This window comes from Homo sapiens, chromosome 11 (genome assembly GCF_000001405.40).
Source record: "Homo sapiens chromosome 11, GRCh38.p14 Primary Assembly".
Lineage (NCBI taxonomy): Eukaryota > Metazoa > Chordata > Mammalia > Primates > Hominidae > Homo > Homo sapiens.
The window spans coordinates 34,882,295-34,904,802 of NC_000011.10; the positions used below are offsets into that span (position 1 = coordinate 34,882,295).

Here is a 22,508-nt window from a genome sequence, read left to right on the forward strand (position 1 = left end):
TTTGGACTTAATGTTTCATATTTATTTTCTGACACCAACATTAAAACAAGAGAATGCTCATTCCACAATGAGGAAATTTTCTAATGAATTTTATTATCACCAGCATCTTTAAAAATTAAGAGGAATTCTCTGAGAGTATATATAAAAAAGAAATTAAAGGCAAATATTTTGCTGTTAAGGATTTAAAAATAAACAGAAACATAGAGTATAAAATTTTCATTTCACTGTGCCCTCATTTAAAATTATAAGAATATAAGCAAATAACATCCAATGTCAGAAGAGATTCAGGGTGACCATTTGCAGTATTTAGTGGCAAATTAGTAGCATCATGAAAAATTTCAATTCATTTAAAAAAATAGCTTTCATTTAAATAATAATTACGTTTAGCTTTATCTCTGTATATAATTAGACTTTCTTTTGGCTTAGACAATTCCATTTTCTCCAACTGGGAGCTGTGAAGGATCAAGTCCTACTTTCTTCATTGATACGGCAATATCAAATAAATAGTCATAACACTCACACCTGTAAAAGAAAAAGCAAAAAGAACCAGTGTTTATCGAAACAGAGTTCTCCAATCCTAAAGAATCACATTTCTCCTCTCTTGCAGTTAACTCTGCTTTGTTCCTAGTATGTATTTTCTCTCAATTCTAGGCCAAAATTCTATTTTTCCCTCAACATTTTTAAAACACAGAAAGGAATCATATTAAGTCATGCAACAATATTACATACCTCTCAGGAAATAAAAGAGAGTTTAAAATATACTGCCTACATAAATTTACATTTTTTTTAAACTAGATGTCACTTTCTGAAATAGAACTTTTGTAACTTGGGATCTGTGTCTTCTTCCTCTATCAACATTCCTAGAGCCTTGCCAAACAACAGCTCATCCAATCAATACTTCTTCATGAATGGATACATAATAAAAATAAAGTATCTACAAATAATGATAAACAATTTAAATTTAAACCAACTGACATACTTTGTTTTCCTTCACATTTAGCGGGTGGTAACTTGTTCCCCATGTTCTCTGATTTACACTCACATGGTTTTGGCCTTCTCCCATGTTTCCCCCCACACATATACTCCATGACGTCTGACCAGTACTGCACAGGAGTCTGGGTATTCATTCATTGCATGAGCCATTCTATCTTTGAGGTCTTTCTCCTCAGGTGTATTCTCAATAATGGGTACCACTAACATATCATCATATCTGTAAGACAAAACAAGCCATTTTTTTCCATTAAAACAAATCAAGCATTGATATGTATACAACATGTAATTTTTTCAAGTAACCAGTTAGACATGCTGTTTGTGTCTGAAAAGCCACTCCAAATTATGAACAGGATGTTGCGTGTTATTCTGTGTACCTTGTATAAACATCTCTATCAAAAGGTACCTTGGGAATGTGGCAGGCTTGGTCTAATCCTAAGCCTAAGTGGTGGAAATTTGTAAAATATACCAAAACCTAACAAAGAAATCATCAAGATCATATAAATGTTTCCTTGAAGCAGGGACAATCATAATATTTATACAAGGAGATGGCAAATGATATATTTCAGAATCAGAAGCATAGAAAAGATTAAAAATTGAATTATATATTAAGAATTTCCCAATTAATACAAAATCACTGTATTTCATTTCTGCAGAATCCCAAAGTATCTGAGATAGGCAAATCAAAAAACACAAGCATGGTTTGTGGCACTAGGACAGCAAGAATGTTCTGGAGATAACTCTTAAAGGTACGACGCTTTCAGAACATTCTCAAATCTGTAGCATTAGAACTTCTTTTACTTCCACTGTCCTCTCAGGAAATACATGTGATGAAATCAGAATGTAATATTTAAACACATAATTGTCACTGGCAAAATTAAGTCTATTCTTGCAAAAACTCAGATAAGCTTTCCTTTTTACATGAATTTCTCTTGTTTTGTTAATGTAACATCTGCTTTTTCACTACTTCTATAGTGCTAAAAACTTAAAAAAAAAAGTTCTAGCTAAAGTATTCTGCAATTGCTACTGTAGGGCAAGCACAGACTAAGTAGTCATCATGTGACTGATAACTTGGCCAACCATTATCATTAAGAGTATAGAGTTGCCCATCACTTCACTTAAGTAAAACAGAGGTAATTATAGACTATCCTTAACTATGGCTAGGTGCATTGGCTCATAGCTATAATCCCAGCACTTTGGGAAGCCAAGGCAGATGGACTGTTTGAGCTCATGAATTTAAAACCAGCCTGGCCAACATGGTGAAACCCCATCTGTACAAAAAATACAAAAATCAGCCAGGTATGGTGGTGCATGCCTGTAGTCCCACCTACTCGGAAGACTGAGGTGAGAGAATGGCTTGAGCCTGGGAGGCGGAGGTTGCATAAGACAAGATCGAGACACTACACTCTAGCCTTGGCGACAGAGCCAGACTTAGTCTCAAAAAAAAAAGAAAAAAGTATCCTTAAATATTGAAGGAATGAATTGCTAGTCTCAAATCTTTCCTAATATTGGCCGAGAGAACCATAAACATATTTTTCTCTAGCATGCACTCAATAGTCAGAAATATTTTCAGGAGCAAAATAATTTCACAGCAAAGTAAGAACTGAAAGCGAATTCAAGCCAGTCCTCCCACTTTACAAACATGACACTGATCCAGACAAGTTAAATGAGAAAGAGAGCCAGGATAGCCCTTTGACCCTCAAAGAGTATTGTTTTCACTGTACCATAGAGACATTGCTTCTGAAAGGGAGTACAATTATAATATAAAGTTATGTATATGTATACATTATACAACTATAATATATGTATACATAGTATACATGTATATTATATATATTATATATACCTATATAATGTATACCTATATATGTATAGGTATACATGTATAACTATATATGTATATATATACCTATATAACTATATATGTATATTATATATGTATAGTTATACATGTATATATAACTATACATATATAGGTGTATATATATACATATAACTATACATATAAAGGTATATATATACACATATATAGGTATATACATATACATCAATGTCAGACCACAGATATGATGGTGGTCCTATAAGATTATAATGGAGCTGAAAAACTCCATTATACCTGCACAGACCTGGTGGACTGAACAAAGGGGGCGAACGTGGGAATAAAAGATAAAAACAAGAGAGTACGTTTGGAAGAAGAGGTCGGGGGCACCTTGCCTCTAGTGGACAAGGGCCCCGAGCTGTACACAGCCCTCCGTATTTATTGGTAAAAGAGATAACGAGAAATGGGGGGCAATTGTCGGGCAATTGTCAGTCGGCCACTTTGGTTCACAGCAGGCTTGCAAGACTGCATCCTTTGAACAATAGGCTCTAGATTTCTCAATGGATAACTTCAAGGAGCCCGGTGCCAGGGAGTGATGTCCCTCAGCAAACCTTTTGGTGGCAGGCGCAGTGTGAGTTTGCTCACATCCTGCATTCATGATAAACAGTTTGCTGTTTGATCATATAGCCTCCAGTGGAATGCTGAGTTGATCACGATCCCTTTGGCCTTTTTGGCTCTCAACAACTCCTATCGCCTAATGACCGCATAGCTGTCATAGGGTCACAGCACAACATATTATGCAAATGTCTGTGGTGATGCTGGTGTAAACAAACCTACTGTGCTGCTAGCTGTATAAAAGTACAGCACATACAATTATTACAGTATGTAATACGTGATGATAATGACTATGTTAGTAGTTTATGTATTTATTACTCTATAATTTTAAAACACTATTTTAGGGTGTACTCCTTCTACTTATATGGTTTTTAAAAAGTTAACTGTAAAGCAGCCTCGGGCAGGTCCTTCAGGAGGTATTCCGGAAGAAGGCACTGTTAGTTATCACAGGAGATGACAGCTCCATGCATGTTACTTGCCCCTGAAGACCTTCCACTGAGACAAGGTGTGGAGGTGGAAGGCAGTGATATTGATGACCCTGACCCTGTGTACTCCTAGGCTAATATATGTGTTTGTGTCTCAGATTTTAACAAAAAAAATTTAAAAAGTTAAAAAAAATTAAAATAGAAAAAAGCTTATAGAATAAAGATATAAAGAAAATATTTTTGTATAGCTGTACAATGTGTGTTTTAAGGTACTATTACAAGAGTCCAAAAGTTAAAAAAAAAAAGTAAAAGCTTGATAAACTAAAAAAGTTACAGTAAGCTGAGGTTATTATTAAGAAATGTTTTCAATAAATTTCGTGTAGCCTAAACATACAATGCTTATAAAGTCTATAGTAGTGTAATGTCCTAGGCCTTCACATTTACTCACCACTCACTCACTTATTCACCCAGAACAACTTCCAGTTCTGCAAGCTCCGTTCATGGTCAGGGCCTTAGACAGGTGTGCCACTTTTTACCTTTTACATCATATTTTTTTTTTACCAAACCTTTTCTATGTTTAGATACACAAATACCTACCATTGTGTTGCAATTGCCTACAGTACTTTGTACAGTAACCTGCTATGCAGGCTTGTAGCCTAGGAGCATTAGGCTATACCATATACCCTGGGTGTGCAGTAGGCTATACCATTTAGGTTTGTGTATGCACTCTGCTGTTCACACAATGATGAAATCACCTAGTGACACATTTCGCAGAACATATCCCCATCCACAGTGACAAGTGACTGTATTTTAAAGCTGTTCTTTATATAAAAGATAAACTTAAAAAAATACAGTAGAGAATTTTAAACTCCATCCTTTCTTACCTCATCCAGCTTTCATTGCCTTTCTTTTGATTAGACTCAGGATTCTCTTCAAATTCAGATAAAATAACACTGCCTCCTGAGCTGTGTTAATGACTCTATTACTCATTTCCCAGCTAGACTCCAACAGAATTGCAAAGGGCCACCATGCTTGGCCTCTCCACAAAATTGCAAAGACTCTCTCTTATGCCCTGTTCCTCTACCTTACTTTTTCCAAACTCTTTTCAGAAAAACTGATTCTTCTGACCTATTTTTATTTCCTCACCAAAACAATAACATTCATATGAAACTGATAGTACCCATAAGGCCTCTCCTTCAGCCCCAGATATGGAAGAGGCAATCTGGGGCTCTACTTTCCTCAGTATGTACACTTCTCTTAATTTAAATATTTAACTTTTGTAAACAGGTGTTTCACAGTCCTGAGGAATGCTTTAAGCACACAATAAATATTAACTGAAATCAAATCAATTTCTCAGTGCACTAGTTTAAACATGCACATTCCATTACATGCAGTAAGAATATGATATTGTGGTAATAACACTTTAGTAAAACTGGCACCGTTTTCCTCTAAACAAGGCAAGGTAGAATCAAGCCCTTTAGGAAATTAAGAGTGAAGGTTCAGGAATGAGAATGCTAATAAACTCAAATGAAATGCTTAGCTTGTCCCTGAACACTGAGAACATGTTTCTTCCTGCCGTTATATTCTAGAATTATGAAGAATTACTACACTTTTGTGGACTGATGAATTTATTTAAACTGATCTAGAATGGTAATCTATACTTACTATCCATTTCACCTTAAACACTGAAAAATTCTAAAAATATAGAGATCTACTTTATTAAAAAAACTTACATAAATATGAAAATATTCCAGAAATACTAAATTAAATCACCATGAAGTATAAACTGTAGTCACTGGTCAAATTTCTGAAGACAAAGTGAAGTTGAAGATATCTTTGGCTGCCTCAATACAGGAACATAATCTTTCCATCATGATAGAGATCTCAGTCAAGATTTTTTTCAGTTTAAACAAACATTTCATTATTCATATTACTAATAATTTACCATGGCTGGGGTAGGGGCGGGAGAGGAGGGAAGACATCCCATTCGTGTCATGAGAATAGGTCTAGAAGTGTAATATTAAATGGAGTATTATTTAACACAGATCCCACGACATCTCATTATATGCATAAAATGATCAGTATTCTATTTATCAAAGAGAAGGAAGAATTCTTTTCAAATTATTTAAGAAAAAGGAAAAAAAAATACCTATAATACCCTCCGGAAGTACATTTCTTTATTCCTTTTATCATCTCTTGATGTGTAATTTTAAACTCCCGTCCTGGAAAGAGAAGTGTGGCCATCACAGCAGCTTTAGAGTGGGTATGAATCACTGCACCTGCTCCTGAAGGAGGAAGAAGAAAGCCGCATGCTCAATGAAGACTGAATTATAGCTTTTAAAGAAAAAAAGTCCATATAGTTATACTTATATTTACATATGGTTATGGGCTTATTTTTCCTGGCATGGAATAAGTTGGTAGTAGGCAGGAGGGTAAGTGGAATAATGGACCTTCCTCATAGGTTGATGTGAGAACTGAGTAAGTTCATGCACTTCAAGTTCTTGCACATGGTGGGTATCCAAGAAATGTTAACTGAAATAATAATTACCATTATTTAGAGGAGCCTACTCTGCAAATATTCTTTATGTTGAATATATTTTCTGCATACCTCTCATTGTGTAAGCATTCATGAAAAGAGGAGTACACTGGCTTTTTTTTAGCTTCTTCGATGGCGAAGGTCCACTTATGTCCTTTTCATTTATATCACAAACAAACATGTCTTCAGGCTATTTATAGAGGGGAAAAAAAGAAAAAAAGAAGGCTTGTAAAATATCAATTAGAAATGTTCCTTTTCTTGTGTACATATACATAAGAATACAAGAAAGTTTATCTATAGTATACATACTTGTGTGTATATTTAGTATACATATACATAGAGTGCTAATATATGCATATATTTAACTTACATTTTAAATATATAATTATAGTTTCTCAAAATAATTTAGCAATTTTGAGAAATAAAACAGTGATTTCTACTAGTAAAAATATTCTCAGAAGTTTAATACAAATCCCAAAAATTAAAAAAAATTTGAAGACAAAAAATGATATGGAAAATTACTATTTATGTAATGATGTTACTGCTGTCATTTCAACAATTTAGCTTCTCAACTTTGCCCTATAATTTCACAACTGTATTTCAGAAAGTCTATATAAAGAAATCGACATTCCAAAGATGGGTGTTAAAATTTTTTTCCCCACATTTTGTTAGATAAAAGCAAAATTTTGAGTAATTTTTCTAACCCTTGAGAAATTTAGATGGTACTCAGAAAGGTTAATCTCAATAAGGTATATTCTTCTTAAAGCTTAAGAAATTATGTAGATCTACAGGTTTTTCTTTTTTTTTTTAACTTTTATTTTAGGTCCAGGGGTACATGTGGAGGTTTGTTACATAGGTAAATTGCATGTTACAAGAGTCTGGTGTACAGATTATTTTGTCACCCATGTAATAAGCATAGTAACTGACAGCAGTTTTTCCATCCTCACTTTCCTCCCACCCTCCACCCTCCAGTAGGTCCCAGTGTGTATTGCTCCCTTCTTTGTGACTGTATGTACTCAATGTTTAGCTCCCACTGTAAGTGAGAACATGCGGTATTTGATTTTTCTGTTCCTGCATTAATTCACTTAGGATAATGGTTTCCAGCTCCACTCATGTTGCTGCAAAGGACATGATCTTGTTCTTTATTATGGCTGCATACTAATCCATGGTATATATGTACCACATTTTCTTTCGCCAGTCTACTGTTGATGGGTATCTGATCCACATACAGTAAAGCATGCGTATTTCTGTAGCTTTTATCTGCCAGGATTTATTAAAAAACTACAATACAAATGTTTTATTAACAAAGCAGCTTTTCTTTTTTTTCTTGCATTAGAAGTTAAATAATTATGTGTTTGCTTTAACTAGATTTGGGGTATTATTCTGGCATTAACACAGAATAAGACTTCTCAAAATTTGAAACAAAGTTTCATAACTTGAAATCCTGAAATTAGAATAACTTTGCTATTAGGAAATATGAATTAATTTGGTTCATCTGAGACCATCAATCTGATTATTCCACCAGCCTGATAAAGATCGTAGTGTTATAAAGCTGCAAAGTTATAATTGCTCTTTACTGTGATTTAAGATTGCACTATTCACTTTTGCCCCCTATAGGTTGAATGAGATTTCAAAACATACACCGGTTGTATGGAAGATATCTACCACCTTACAAAACATTTAATAATTACTCAATAAATGTTTGCTGATTAGTTATTCAAATTGCTATGATAAAATGAATGTTTTCTCTTAAAATTAATTCCATTTCATAAAACAGTAATTAAGAAGAAAAGACACTGAGGTTAAAGAATCCCATTACCATACCTGAATTCGTTCCTTTTGCACTCCTGAAGGAGCAATGTAGATTTCATCGCTGGCAACACAAAACATACAAATTGGTATTTATTTATTTCCTGCTTTTGCACAAAGAAAAGTTTGCAGTCCAATCATGCATGTTCTTTATAAATCAAGCAATACAGCCAGTTGCTTGATTTAATTATGGATTTTGGCTGCATAGAAAGAAAGCCAAACTACATCAATGCCTTTGTAGTGCTGGTGGCATTGTAGAATATTAGTTGTTGCTTTTGTCTTCTACGTTTCATATATATTTATTCTTTTTATAGTGCAAAGTTGGTGGTAACCAGGCTTTTATCCTGTTAGGGGAATAAAAATCTGAAAACATAAGTTTTCAGCGTCTTTAAACATGAATAAGCAGAGTTTAACCTATGTGAAATACAGTTATTCTAAAATCCAATCTGGAAAATATGCTCAATAGAAGTATATTTCTGTCATGCAAAGAATCAGGTTTGATTTATTGTTTGAAATGCTCTTCTTAAACCATGAAGTTCAGAGACCTCTGCTGGACAGTTTCTTAAATTACTGTATTAACACTGGGCTACTTTTTGGATAGAATCACATGCTTCCCATTTGAAAAGCATACATATCTTGGAAAAAAATTTAGTAATAAAGCTAAAACAACTACAAAGAGTTCAAAATATCAGAATGGCTACATGTGAAGATCTCTTTGTTACAGGATGTTGGACTAAGGGAGATGCTATAGACTACCATTTACCACAAGGTGCTCTCAAATTTGATTTGGAAATTAATTTCAAATCTTCTCTAAATTCCCTCCACCCTCAACAACAACTAAACAAACGTCCCTTGGCTCACATATCAGGTTTTTTCTCTTCTCGCTGGATATCTTTGATAACTTACCAGTTTCAGTTGCTGCCAGAGAGTATTAATGAGCTACTGCATATATGCAAACCAAGAAAATGCCAGTACCTGCATGCTCTAGTTTCTGCTAGTAAGGCACAGACACAGGGATATTGAACAAATATCAAACATTTCATAGTGTAAATGAGGATGATGGCCTATATACCAAGCTGCTGAAGTTCAGGTTGCTAATAAACCTGTAGGCTTGGAACCGATAAAAATCTAAGGTGAAATCAAAGTTTCTTTAAGGTTCCACTGATAAAGTCTAGAAAACAAATGTCTGATAATGTGAGTGGAAATCCAATGCACTGTTAGCTGCACGCGAGCATTTGCTTTCATGAAGTGGCTATTGTTTCCGAGTTCTGCAACATAAGGATAACATAAAGGGACATTCCTCTGCAACCAGTGAGAATGGGTTGGGATCATACTATTAACAAGGGCTCTTTGTGAATACCAGTGATCCAAATCTTGTGTCCTTGTGTAACATGGAAGAAGCTCTAGGATGGTACATGGTCCACTCACCTCCACAGATAAGTGGACTTGTGGGTCTTCTTATGTGGGGAGAAATTTATGCAGTCCTGGGAATAGACTCAAATAAAGTACAAAATGGTCTGCTGGTAAGTAAAACCCATCTATAAAGTAGGAAAACCAAGGGTACTCTGTTTATTCAAGTGACTTGGTATGTTGTAAATGTCTTTGTAAAATGGAAATTAATTTAGACTTTGATGAACTTTGGGTAATTAAAAGATTAGCCAAATGTTTTAGAAAAATATATTTACACCTACAAAGAAAGAGATATCTGGATAAAAATATAAAAATGACAGAGCTTTTTAGAATAGAAACATGCCAAATATTAAAGTGAAATATCTACTTGGTGCTTTAAGCCACAAACAGAAAGCATTTTGAATTTCAAGTTACTAAATTTTGGAATATACTTCTCTGTACTCCTGCATTTTCACTGTGGTAAGCAAGGGCCAAACCCCAAGAGGTCAAAATACATCTATGTTCAGTTGCTTCTATTTTTATTTGCTTTCTGGTCAGTTAAAAAATAATTTAAATCTTATAGTGCCTCAATTATTTTGTCTACAATGTGACTTTATTAATTGTAGTCCTAATCACATGCAACAGGATCAGTCTCTCTGACACCTGTCAATATTACTCTGTGAAAACAGGAAATTATAAATTTGAATGATAGCGACCCAACCTAAACACAGTAGCTATTGAGTATCCTGGAATTGCCTTGATTACTATTATTTTCTTGGTCATTTATTTCCTTCTTCTGACTTAATTTTTGGTACCACATACTTGTAGCATAAGCTGGAATGGTCCAGTCAAATCTTGGAATTAGTAAATCATTTTATGTTCCCAAAGAGCTTATTGTCTGTATTATTCTGGAAACATAATTTATTGCGTTTGCATTTTATTCCAAATTTATTTGCCCTAAGCATCAAAGAGCCAAACTTTCACTAACAACATGAGAATAGTATTGCTGATAATGCTAGTGACTTATTAAGTCATTTAAATATTAGGGAAAAAAACCAACATTTTACTACAAAATATTCATTTTACTATGTAAAGCACAAATTTAATAAGATTCCAAATACAGTGCCATGTGACTGTGGCTCTTTCCTTCCATGACCTCCACACCCATTAAGAACTAAGGATAAAGCATTTCACATATATGATGAAAATTTCCTATGAGCTGATTTTAGTGCTATAAAAGCCCATTTAATTTTAAAAGATGCGCCAATGAGTGGTTTATGGTGGTCACATAAAATGGTAGTGCATGGATTAGTAAAATTCTACTAGAAAGAACATAGTCCTTTATGTCTTTTTGATCAAAAATATTTCATCTTGAGTCCTGCATTCACCTATTTTTAACTTTGCTAGTTTTTTTAAAGAGCCAGTTGGAAATGGTTATTTTAGCTCATTTGGTAGAAAGCTTTATTTTATACATACACAAACTATTTCTGAACATGCAAATAAAAAGCAGTTAACTAAAGACAGCATTTAGAATATGATTTATTATAAATAATACAGTTGGGAAACTATATTACTGGGACTCAACTTCTAAATGGATACATGAAACAAGAATAAATGTTGTTATCGTAGGATTTGCTGTGAATAGGCCATCTTGAAAGTTTTGGCAAAATAATGTGAAAGCTTGAGCAATGCTGTATTTACACATTAGCAACTAGGCTGATGGTAAGAGAGGAGGCACAGATGGATTTATTGATCTACCATATGGAACATAATCTTACTAGACTGAGAGCATACTTTTATCCCTAACTGTGCCAGTTGTTAACAGAGGAACCTCTTGTCATTTCCCAATGTTCAATGAAAATTTCATGAGTTAACTCAGTAATTTAAAGCAGATAAAATTATAATGGCATCATCTTGTGGTGTACCATTGAATCCCTTTTGTTCCCAATGTTCTGATTATATTTTACATTCCATTCCTTAATATGCAATGCAGCCTCCTTGGGGGCATGACTATATATATTCAACAGCACATAAATATTTTAATAATCCAATTTTGTTAAAGAAAGTGAATTAGAATGAAGTAATAAATCAACATCACTCAATTTAACACACAACCTCCAGACAATAATATTCCTAACACATTTCAGGAGGAAAAAAAGATTAATCCTGTATTGGAAATCCTTGAATGAGATTCTATAATCTTAATTTCATTGATAGCAAGTTACTTCTTACTCACAGTTACTAATACTTACTTTATTTCTTCATCTTCTTGAATAAATGACACTAAATAAATACAATGAGCAATTGAATACTATTTATCCTTTCTGCTTCAATTTAAGTCCAGTACATCTTGTTTTGTCCTCTGAGGAATACAGATTAGCAGGCACTATATTCATTAATGATACAGGTGCTTAGAAAGCATACTGCCGTTCTTTTGATTCAATAAAAAATAATTATTAGGATTTTTAATGATTAGTCATCTGTATTTAAGTGACTTTGAAATATGTATCTGGGAGGTCAAGGCAGGTGGGTTGCTTGAGCCTAGGAGTTTGAGACCAGCCCATGCAACTTAGTGAGACCCAGTCTCTACAAAAAAAAAAAAAAAAAAAACCCCAGAAAAAATTAGCCAGGCGTGGTCGCACATGCCTGTAGTCCCAGCTGCCCAGGAGGATGAGGTAGGAGGATTGTTTAAGCCTGGGAAGTCAAGGCTGCAGTGAGCCATGATCGCCCCACTGCACTCCAGCCTGGGTGACAGAGCAAGACTCTGTTTCAAAAACCAAAGTACCTGAACCTTTGAAACAAATCCTATCTACCTAGAGAGGATCCTCTAGAATCTCAGGTATATGAACATACTTGGTAGCATGTTATTTAACTCTGGTACTCAAAAACTGAGTATTAAGTTATTGTGATTTGAAATTGTGGATCTTCAGTCTTTAGCTATTTGACATATCTGCAGCTTTTGTACATTGCTTCCATTCAGTTACACAAATGTCCACTTGTCCATTTAGAAACTAAAGACCTTCAGTATCACATAAAACTGATCATCAGTTGTTCTTTGGATATAACACATTAGACTTGCTGTGGTCTACTCAAATGGAGAGTTCCCAGTAATAAAGGCTGCCAGAAACTTACCCATGCTTCAAGCTAATTCCTCCTCCAGTCCCAGTGACCCAGCCTAAATGGTAAAACTGTTTGCAAAGTTCTGGGATCAGGTATCTTGGATGCTCCTTGTCCTTAAAAAGAAGGTAATGATTTTTAAAACAGACATCATTTTATCAAGTAACTATTCCAGCTGGTGTTTCTAATAAGAAGCCAATTTAAGAAAGTTTAAGAAAACATACTATAGAAAGAGTACAGTGAAGGAAAAAACTATTACAAACATATTTTGTTTTTAATGTTTAGAAAGTGGATCTACTACATTATTTGGCAACCTGGGAGTATTCGGTATAGGGCCATATAGTCCAACACTAAGGAACAGGCTGCAAAAACAAGGTGGGGAAATGCCTAGTATACATTACAAAGCATCAACTGAAATGGCTGAAAGAAAATAGAATCTCATGCTGAAGGAACAGTCTCTCCAGAAGATTTATTTACACAAAACACCTTATTTAACTAGGTTTGATGATATATACATGAGATATTATGATAGTTACATGTTCAACACATACTCTGTGTGTTGGTTCAATTGTATTTTTATTCCAAAAAAGTCCTTTTTCCCACAATGATTTTAGTTTCTCTTATTGAAAAAGCAATATATACTCATTATAGAAAATAAAGTGAAGCAAATTACAAAAAACACTAAGAAACAACCTCAATTAATACTTGCTTAACCCATTTTATGAAGATACGTGTTTATGAGTGTATGTGTGTGTATACAGACAGATAAATATCAAGTGTTATTTTTATAAGTCCAATGATTACTTCTTTAGAAAAAAGAGCCCACACCATTTTCTCCTGCTTTTTTGTGGTTTAAATTAATGAAAACAAAAATAAATAAATAAATAAATAAATGAAGAAGAAATACAATGAATTCCATTTTGGGCAGTATAATATACAATCCTTATCTTAAAAATAAGTACAAATGCTGAATAAATTATTTTTTAAAATATTTCAAAATAAGTTGTTGAGCTGGCAAGAAAGTAAAGTTTCACAGGGGCCATAAAAAATGAGAATGAGACTCTCACACCAGTTGGAATGGCGATCATTAAAAAGTCAGGAAACAATAGATGCTGGAGAGGATGTGGAGAAATAGGAATGCTTTTACACTGTTGGTGGGAGTGTAAATTAGTTCAACCATTGTGGAAGACAGTGTGGCGATTCCTCAAGGATCTAGAACCAGAAATACCATTTGACCTAGCAATCCCATTACTGGGATTCTACTATAAAGACACATACGTATGTTTACTGCAGCACTATTTACAATAGCAAAGACTTGGAACCAACCCAAATACCCATCAATGATAGAATGGATAAAGAAAATGTGACACATATACACAATGGAATACTATGCAGCCATAAAAAAGGATGAGCTCACGTCCTTTGCAGGGACATGGATGAAGCTGGAAACCATCATTCTCAGCAAACTAACACAGGAGCAGAAAACCAAACACTGCATGTTCTCACTCATAAATGGGATTTGAACAATGAGAACACATGGACACAGGGAGGGGAAAATCACACACCAGGGCCTGTCAGCAGATGGGGGGCTAGAGAAGGGATAGCATTAGGAGAAATACCTAACATAGATGATGAGTTGAGGGGTGCAGCAAACCACCATGGCACGTGTATACCTAAGTAACAAACCTGTAAGTTCTGCACACGTATCCCAGAACTTAAAAGCATAATAAAGCAACAACAACAACAACAAAGGAAAATGAGACTACCTGGGAGAGAAGTGAGCGCCAAAGCCAGAATGTTCCTGAAGGTATTGCAAAACTCTGGTGACCTTGAACTTCAATTTTGATAGCCATGTAAGCCACTAGAAGCATGAGACAAAACCCAGGGCCTGATCAATTCCAGGAAACCTAATGAAAAATCCCCACATAAACTGGAGACCCCACTGAGGTCTACCTTCAAGGTAACAGTGAACAAAATGAGATTCACTGTGGAGAAAATCACAACAAGGAAGCATGCCTTTACAGATCCGGTCACTGGGTAAAGGGGGAAAAACATCTTTGAGTTCAAAAAGCGATCATTATTTAACAGGTTGAATTCTCAGCTACTTAGCTGAATACTTGAAATTGTGGTGTTTTTCCCCAGATTTAGTGCTAATGTTCTACTTACTCATTTTAAGTATTACAAATGATGACTGATGGAGTAAACTTCAAAATATAAAATTAAAAACTTGAGAATCTAGAAATTTCTAAAAGTTCTGATTCAACTTAGACTTGGAGTTAGCTGACTTAAAAGTCTAATCCACATTACTGGATTTATTGCCTACATGACTTTGGGTGTCAGTTTACTTATCCACACAATGAAAATGCTGTGAGGATTAAAATGAGATACAATGGACATAATGCAGTCAGCATGAAATCTGACACAATGTCAGTTTCCTTTTCATTTTAAAGAGCTGAAAATTCTTGAATTAAAATAGCAAAACTATTATAGGAGTTATTAAGAAATTATTTTAGACAGAGAGGGTAAGGTTGGTAAGGTTTTGTTTTCTTTTAATAATGCAGCTTAGTAAGGTTTTTTTTTTTCTTTTAATAATGCAGCTCCAAAAACATTTCTTTTCTAGCAGAAAAGCAGCTTAAAGGGCCAGGATAGCAAGCTTTGATGTGCAAATGCCAGCCATTAGAAACCGGGTCCATCCAATATGGTGATTCCCACCCTCTTCTTGTCACCATGTGTGTCAAGCATCATGGCCACCCCAGATATCTTCACGTGTGCAGAACATCATGGTGGCCTGTATTTGAATATTAAAAGGCTAGGGTGGGAAGGCTAGTTTTTTTCGTGGGCTACCTGAGTGACATACCTGGTCAAACCAATCCCCTGGGCCCTATGAAAATCAGACACCACCTCCTCCAGCCTCCTAATAGAACCGACTGTTTTCCCGCTCCACTTGGGGTTTTCTCTCTCTGCTTGGAGCCACCCTCCATCTCTGTACAGGGGAGCTTCTTTCTTCTTTCTTATTAAACTCTCCATTCCTTAAAACCACTCCACGTGTGTCCATGTTATTTATCTAAATTGGTGCGAGACAAAGGGCCCTGGTGTTCCTTCAGTTATCAGAGCCATATCATTTTGGTGTGTTGGCCAAGAATCCGAGGTACAACATTCATCGGATGGTGAGTATAGGAGCAAGCTTAAAATCTGTTCTATCATTCTGAGGGGCTCTTGGCCTCTATTTTAAAATCAAATCAAATCAATCAACAGGCATCCTTCAGCTGGTTAAAAATATGCTTATCACGACTGCCATTCTAAGGCCTCAGATGTTAGGCTTGCTGGTGGAGAACACGGAGAACCCCCCTCAATACCCACGGGTCATTGGGAGTGTCGGCCGTGTTTCGAATCAGTTTCCTTTCACGGGGAAACCTTACCATCGCGTGAGGCTGGGAAAGTTCTGGCCAGGACACACCCTGGCGTTATTCAAAGGCCTCTGGGTCGGACCCAGCCTCCAACAGCCCATTTCGGGTTTTGGCAGAGAATCCCCAGCTATCCTGTCACAAAACTCTCCTTCTTTTTCTATCCACAGTCTCTCTCTCTCTCTGATGTGCGGGAATTTAGTAACCAGGAGTTTAGCTCAGGAATGCTGTTGCAATCTTCTAGGAACAGAGGGTTCCTTTCCTCCCCCTCCTCCCCGCTCCCACCCAGAGTGAGCGTCTCTCTCTCTGCCCTTGGTCTGGAGAGTGCATGGCATTTCCAGGTCTCTCTACTACTACTCTGGCGAGCACATAGTATTTCTTTCTTTGGTTTTTTTTTTTTTTTTTTTTTTTTTTTTTTGAGGCAGAGTCTCGCTCTTTCGCCCAGGCTGGAGTGCAGTGACGTGATCTCGGCTCACTGCAAGCTCCGCCTCCCGGGTTCACGCCATTCTCCTGCCTCAGCCTCCCGAGTAGCTGGGACTACAGGCGCCCGCCACCGCGCCCAGCTAATTGTTTGTATTTTTAGTAGAGATGGGGGTTTCACCGTGTTAGCCAGGATGGTCTCAATCTCCTGACCTAGTGATCCACCTGCCTCGGCCTCCCAAAGTGCTGGGATTACAAGCCAGGATGGTCTCAATCTCCTGACCTAGTGATCCACCTGCCTCGGCCTCCCAAAGTGCTGGGATTACAGGCGTGAGCCACTGAGCCCGGCCTCGAGCAAATAGTATTTCTAAACCAACAGTGCCACCTAGTGGAAACAGAAATCTTCATGAGGCACATTTTTTTTTCTTTTATGGTAACACTGCAGCTTCCTTTTGCACCACTAGAAATCGGGCTCTAAGCCTCTTCTGTGAACAGGAAAATTCTGCTTTCAACAGATAGGAGTTAAATGTCTTCTGTGGCCAAATTTTAGTCTCAATATTGTCCCATCAGCAGGAAAATGGCCGTTTGGTTCCTACGTTCCTTTAAGGCACCTATTCTGTCTCTGATTAAGGTAGTACTGAGCTAGTAAGGGGATTTTAAGTCCAGAAGTTAACCGGAACCATTTTTCTAAGGGTAAATGCTTTAGCATGGGCCATAATAGCAGGATATAGAGTTCAATCTAGCATACCCCCTCCATTAAAGGGGCCTTGCCCAATTACGTAGTTTTTCTTGAGATCTGTTTTTTTTAGGGAGGTACACAGGTCGCAGAAGTCTAGGAGGTTGAAGGGAAATATAAGCAGAGGACTAGAGCTGCTTGGGGAAGTGCGACTAGGCCCAAAAGTCTAGTTCCTCTGGTGCCATGGCTTGGAGGGTCACACCTACAGTCATGGGCAGCACATTTAACAGGGAGGTGGGACCTAGGAACTAGCGAGGGAAAATAGTTGGGGGACGCCCCCACTGTTTTCTTCTCCACCCTGGGTCATATACAGAAAGGAAGGAGACTAAAAGGACACTTTTATTCTCACTTCTCTTTCTAAACGGGTAACAGATCATCTTTAGCATGTGGTCCCCTGGAGTGGATTTTAAAACACTGGGACTGCTTCAACCCTGAGACTTTGAAGAAAAAATGCCTCATAGTCTATTGCACAAGGGCATGGCCTTCTTATCATCTTGGAGATGGACAAACCTGGCCTGCTTGGTGGAGCCTTGATTTTAATGTCATCCAACAGTTAGATCTTTTCTATAGACAGAAGGGCAAATGGACTGAGGTCCCCTATGTATAGACTTTCTTTGCCCTGTGAAACCCAGACCTTTACAAGTCCTGGACAACTGACCCAGTTCTTTTACCAGCCATGGCAGGCAAGCCCATAGGCCTTTCCCAGAGCTAAAGTAGGTTCCAAAGGAGCAATCTGAGACAGCTATTGAATGTCCCAATGCTTCCAGTCCCCCTCCAATTGTACCATCAGCTCCTCTAGCTCCACCATTTCCAGTATATCCTACTCTCCCCATTTCACTCTTACTGCTGCAGGAAGTGCTTGATGGGAATGGTGCCATGAGGGTTCAAGTTCCCTTTCATTACAGAACCTTAAGCAAATAAAGGGAGACTTAGGCCGATTTTCTGACAACCCAGGTAGGTATATAGAAATTTTCCAAAATTTAACTCAGGTATTTGACCTCACATAGAGGGATGTTACGTTGCTGCTACGTCAGACCCTCACTGAAGCTGAAAAGCAGAAAGTTCTGCAGGCAGCAGAAAAATATGGAGATGAGCAACATGCCTCCTGTAGCAAACCGAGGAGACAAAGAGGAGATAGGGAAGGTGAGGAAGAAGTGGAAACTCCATTCCTACTAGGAAAGGAAGCAGTTCTGGTAGACAACCCTGACTGGAACACCAGTAACTCAGGAAATGAATGGAAAAGGAAGCACTTTTAAGGTGTGTATTAGAGGGCCCATGGAAAACCAGGGCCAAACCTCTCAATTACTCTAAACTGTCCATGATAGACCAAAGACCAAACGAGAATCCCACAGCCTTTATGGAAAGGCTGAGAGAGGCACTAATAAAACATACCTATTTATCCCGATTCAATCAAGGGACAGCTCATTCTCAAGGACAAGTTTATTACACAGGTAGCTCCCAATATTAAAAGGAAACTATAAAAGCAAGCTATAGGGCCAGATAGTACCCTAGAAAACCTCCTAAGAAAGCCACTTCGGTCTTTTACAATAGGGATCAGGAGGAAGCCCAATAAAAGGAAAGGAAAATACAGGAAAACAACAGAGGCTCTAGTAGCAGTGGTGCAAGCTTGCAAAGTCCAGAATCCCCAAGGTGCATCCACTAGCTGTTATCGATGTGGCAAATCAGGGCATTTTAAGAAAGAATGTCCAGGTAGCAAGACAAAGCCACCTCGACCCTGTCCAGCCTGTGGCGGAGACCACTGGAGACAGATCTGCCCCCAGAGACGGAGGTCACTGGGTTCAGAACCAGTCTCACAGATGGTCCAGCAAGACTGATGGGTCCCGGGGGCTCAAACCCCTAGCTCCAGCGACTCAGACTGCCATTACAGCACAGGAACCTTGGGTGATTCTGGAAATCAAAGGAAGGAAGGAAGGTAGATCTCCTTCTGGATACTGGAGCCAGTCTCTCTCTTCTCCTCTAATCCAGGCCTCCCCTCTTCCCATAGTATGACTATAAGGGGTGTCTCAGGAAAAATTCTAACCTGATATTTTTCTCAACCTCTTACCTGCAGATGGGGGGACCTACTATTTACACATGCTTTTAAAATCATGGCTGAAAGTCCTGCTCCTTTATTAGGAAGAGATAGTCTAGCTTGCATGGGGGCCAGCATCCATACAGCCCCAGGACAAACTCTTTGTCTCCCCCGATGGAAGCTAACATTAAACTACAAGTGTGGGCAACTCAAGGAAGGATAGGTCGAGCTATAACCACTAGGCCAGTCCAGATCTATCTTAAGGATCTCACTTCTTTTCCTAACCAGAGACAGTATCCCCTGAGCCCAGAGGCTAGGAAAGGGCTAGAAGCCGTTATTAATAACCTAAAGATGCAGGGCCTCCTCAAACCCTTTAATAGCCCCTGCAACACCCCAATATTAGGAGTGCAGAAGCCCAGTGGGGAATAGAGACTAGTTCAGGACCTTTGCCTCATTAATGAAGCTGTAGTTCCAATGCATCCAGTGGTACCTAATCCCTATACCCTGTTAACTCAAATACCTGAGGGAACTAAATGGTTTACAGTCCTAGATTTAAAGGATGCCTTTTTCTGCATACCATTACATCCTGATTCTCAACACCTGTTTGCCTTTGAGGATTTCCTTCCGTCCAGACTGCCCAGTTAACATGGACGGTGCTGCCTCAGGGATTTTGAGATAGTCCTCATCTGTTTGGACAGGCACTGTCACAAGACATTTCTGAGTTCTCTCATCCTCAAGTTAGGGTCTTGCATTAGTTGATGATATTCTGCTCTGTGCCCCAACTGAGGAAGCTTCTCAGGAAGGCACCGAAGCTCTTCTCAACTTCTCAGCTAACAGAGGATATAAGGTTTCAAAATCCAAGGCCCAGCTCTGCAAAACCTCAGTGAAGTATCTAGGATTAGTACTGTCCAAGGGGACCAGAGTATTAGGGGAAGAGAGGATTAAGCCTATTTCCTCCTTCCCTCACCCCCAAACCCTCAAGCAACTAAGAGGATTTTGGGGCATTACAGGATTTTGTAGACTATGGATACCTGGGTATGGTGAAATAGCCCGTCCATTATATAACCTCATAAAAGAAACTCAGGGAGCTAAAACTCATCTTTTAACCTGGGAACCTGAAGCTCAAAAGGCCTTCAACCAGCTAAAGCAAGCCTTGCTCAAGGTGCCAGCCCTCAGCCTTCCTGTAGGGAAGGCCTTCAATCTGTATGTGTCAGAAAAGAAGGGAATGTCCCTGGGAGTTTTAACACAGGCCCGAGGACCAGCTCAACAGTCAATGGGTTACCTAAGTAAGGAACATGATTTGGTGGCTAAAGGATGGCCAGCATGTCTCCAAGCCATTGCCTCAGTGGCTCTACTGGTCCCAGAAGCCTCCAAACTAATCCTGGGAAATGATTTAACTGTTTATAATCCTGGGAAATGATTTAACTGTTTACACCCCACATAACATGGCAGGACTACTGCACTCTACAGGGGAGCCTTTGGGCTAACAGCCGACTCCTTACATATCAGGCCCTGCTGTTAGAAGGTTCCAACATCCAATTAAAGACTTGTTCTCATCTAAATCCAGCCACCTTCTTCCCCAAGGAAACTGGGGAAACTGTGCATGATTATGAACAAGTCATAGTACAGACCTATGCAGCAAGGGAAGATACTGGGGAAACTTCCCTAGAGAACTCAGACTGGACCCTCTCCACAGATGGGAGCTCTTTTGTAGAACAAGGAGTATGCATATGCAATGGTCACTCTAAATGACGTCACCAAAAGTGCATCTCTCCCTCCAGGCACAAGTGCTCAATTAGCTGAGCTAATAGCTCTTACAAAAGCAATCACATTAAGCAAAGGAAAGAGAGCTAACATTTACACTGACTCCAAGTATGCTTTTCTGGTTCTCCATGCTCATGCTGCCATTTGGAAGGAAAGGCATTTCCTTACCACCAATGGACCGCCTGTAAAATATCACCAGGAAATTAACAGGTTATTATCCTCAGTTTTTCTTACACAATAAATAGCAGTGATGCATTGCAAGGGACATCAAAAGGGAACAGATGAGGTAGCCGAAGGATACAGATTAGCTGATCAGGCAGCTAAATCAGTGGCAAGGAAGCCTCAAGACATCAACACACTTCACACCCCTCTAATCTGGGAAGGCTCCATAAGAGAAATTAAACCTCAGTACTCCCCTACAGAAATAGAATGGACCACTTTGTCTCGAGGGTATACCTTTTAGTCCTCAGGATGGCTACAGTCAGAGGATGGCAAACACCACTTGCCAGCCTCCAGCCAATGGAAAATCCTTAAAATCCTTCACCAAGGTTTTCACTTGGGAAAGGATAAAACTTATCAACGTGCCCAGAGATTGTTTTCAGGAGAGAACTTACCAAAAACAGTCAAGCAAGTTATTAATACCTGTGAAGTCTGTCTTAAAAATAATCCCCTGAAAATGTGACTCCTTCCTCCTCAAACCCAAAGAACAGGAAGTTATCCAGGGGAAGACTGGCAAATAGACTTCACCCACATGTCAAAGACAAAGGGCATTCAATACCTGCTGGTATGGGTAGACACCTTCACTAACTGGGTAGAAGCATTTCCATGCCATCCACAAAGAGCCTCTGAGGTAATAAAAATGTTAGTTAATGAAATAACTTCCTGCTTTGGTCTACCGAAGTACCTTCAAAGTGACAATGGGCCCTTGTTTAAGGCAGCTGTCACACAAGGGGTCTCAAAAGCACTAGGCATAGAATATCATCTCCATTGTGCTTGGAGACCCCAATTCTCAGGAAAGGTGGAGAAAACTAATGATATTATCAAGAGACACCTCTGAAAATTATCCCAAGAAACTCACCTTCCTTGGGTCACTCTTATTCCCATGGCCTTAACGAATAAGAAATACCCCTTCAAAATTAGGTCTTAGCCCTTTTGAGATGCTGTACAGATGGCCTTTTCTTACCAATGATTTTCTGTTAGATTGGGAAACCTCTGAGCTAGTTAAGCATGTAACCTCTCTGGCTCAGTTCCAACAGGAAGCGACTAGCAAAAGCCCAACCCCAGGAAACTGGACCACCTCTGTTTAACCCAGGAGATTTGGTACTTGTAAAGGCTCTCCCTTCTCTCTCTCCCTCCCTAAGCCCAGGCTGGGAAGGACCTTACACTGTTCTTCTTTCAAGCCCCTAGGCAATAAAAGTTACAGGAATCGACTCCTGGATACATTATATTGGA

The 22,508-nt window shown here is 38.2% G+C and overlaps 1 protein-coding gene across 3 annotated transcripts in view; it reads right to left on the minus strand.

Annotated features, from left to right (window-relative positions):
- APIP (APAF1 interacting protein) overlaps positions 1 to 22,508 on the minus strand; it is a 34,085-nt gene continuing 11,577 nt past the window's right edge. For 2 of the 3 annotated variants that reach the window (NM_015957.4, XM_017017875.3), the window contains 6 exons: positions 12,716 to 12,816; positions 8,210 to 8,258; positions 6,458 to 6,575; positions 5,999 to 6,134; positions 1,043 to 1,210; positions 1 to 522 (listed from right to left, as the gene is read on the minus strand). In NM_015957.4, coding sequence (NP_057041.2) covers positions 423 to 522; positions 1,043 to 1,210; positions 5,999 to 6,134; positions 6,458 to 6,575; positions 8,210 to 8,258; positions 12,716 to 12,816 — 672 coding nt within the window. In that variant the 3' untranslated portion in view covers positions 1 to 422. Of the gene's footprint in view, positions 523 to 1,042; positions 1,211 to 5,998; positions 6,135 to 6,457; positions 6,576 to 8,209; positions 8,259 to 12,715; positions 12,817 to 14,466; positions 14,562 to 22,508 lie in introns of all 3 variants that reach the window. The other variant, XM_011520154.4, reaches the window with a different exon arrangement.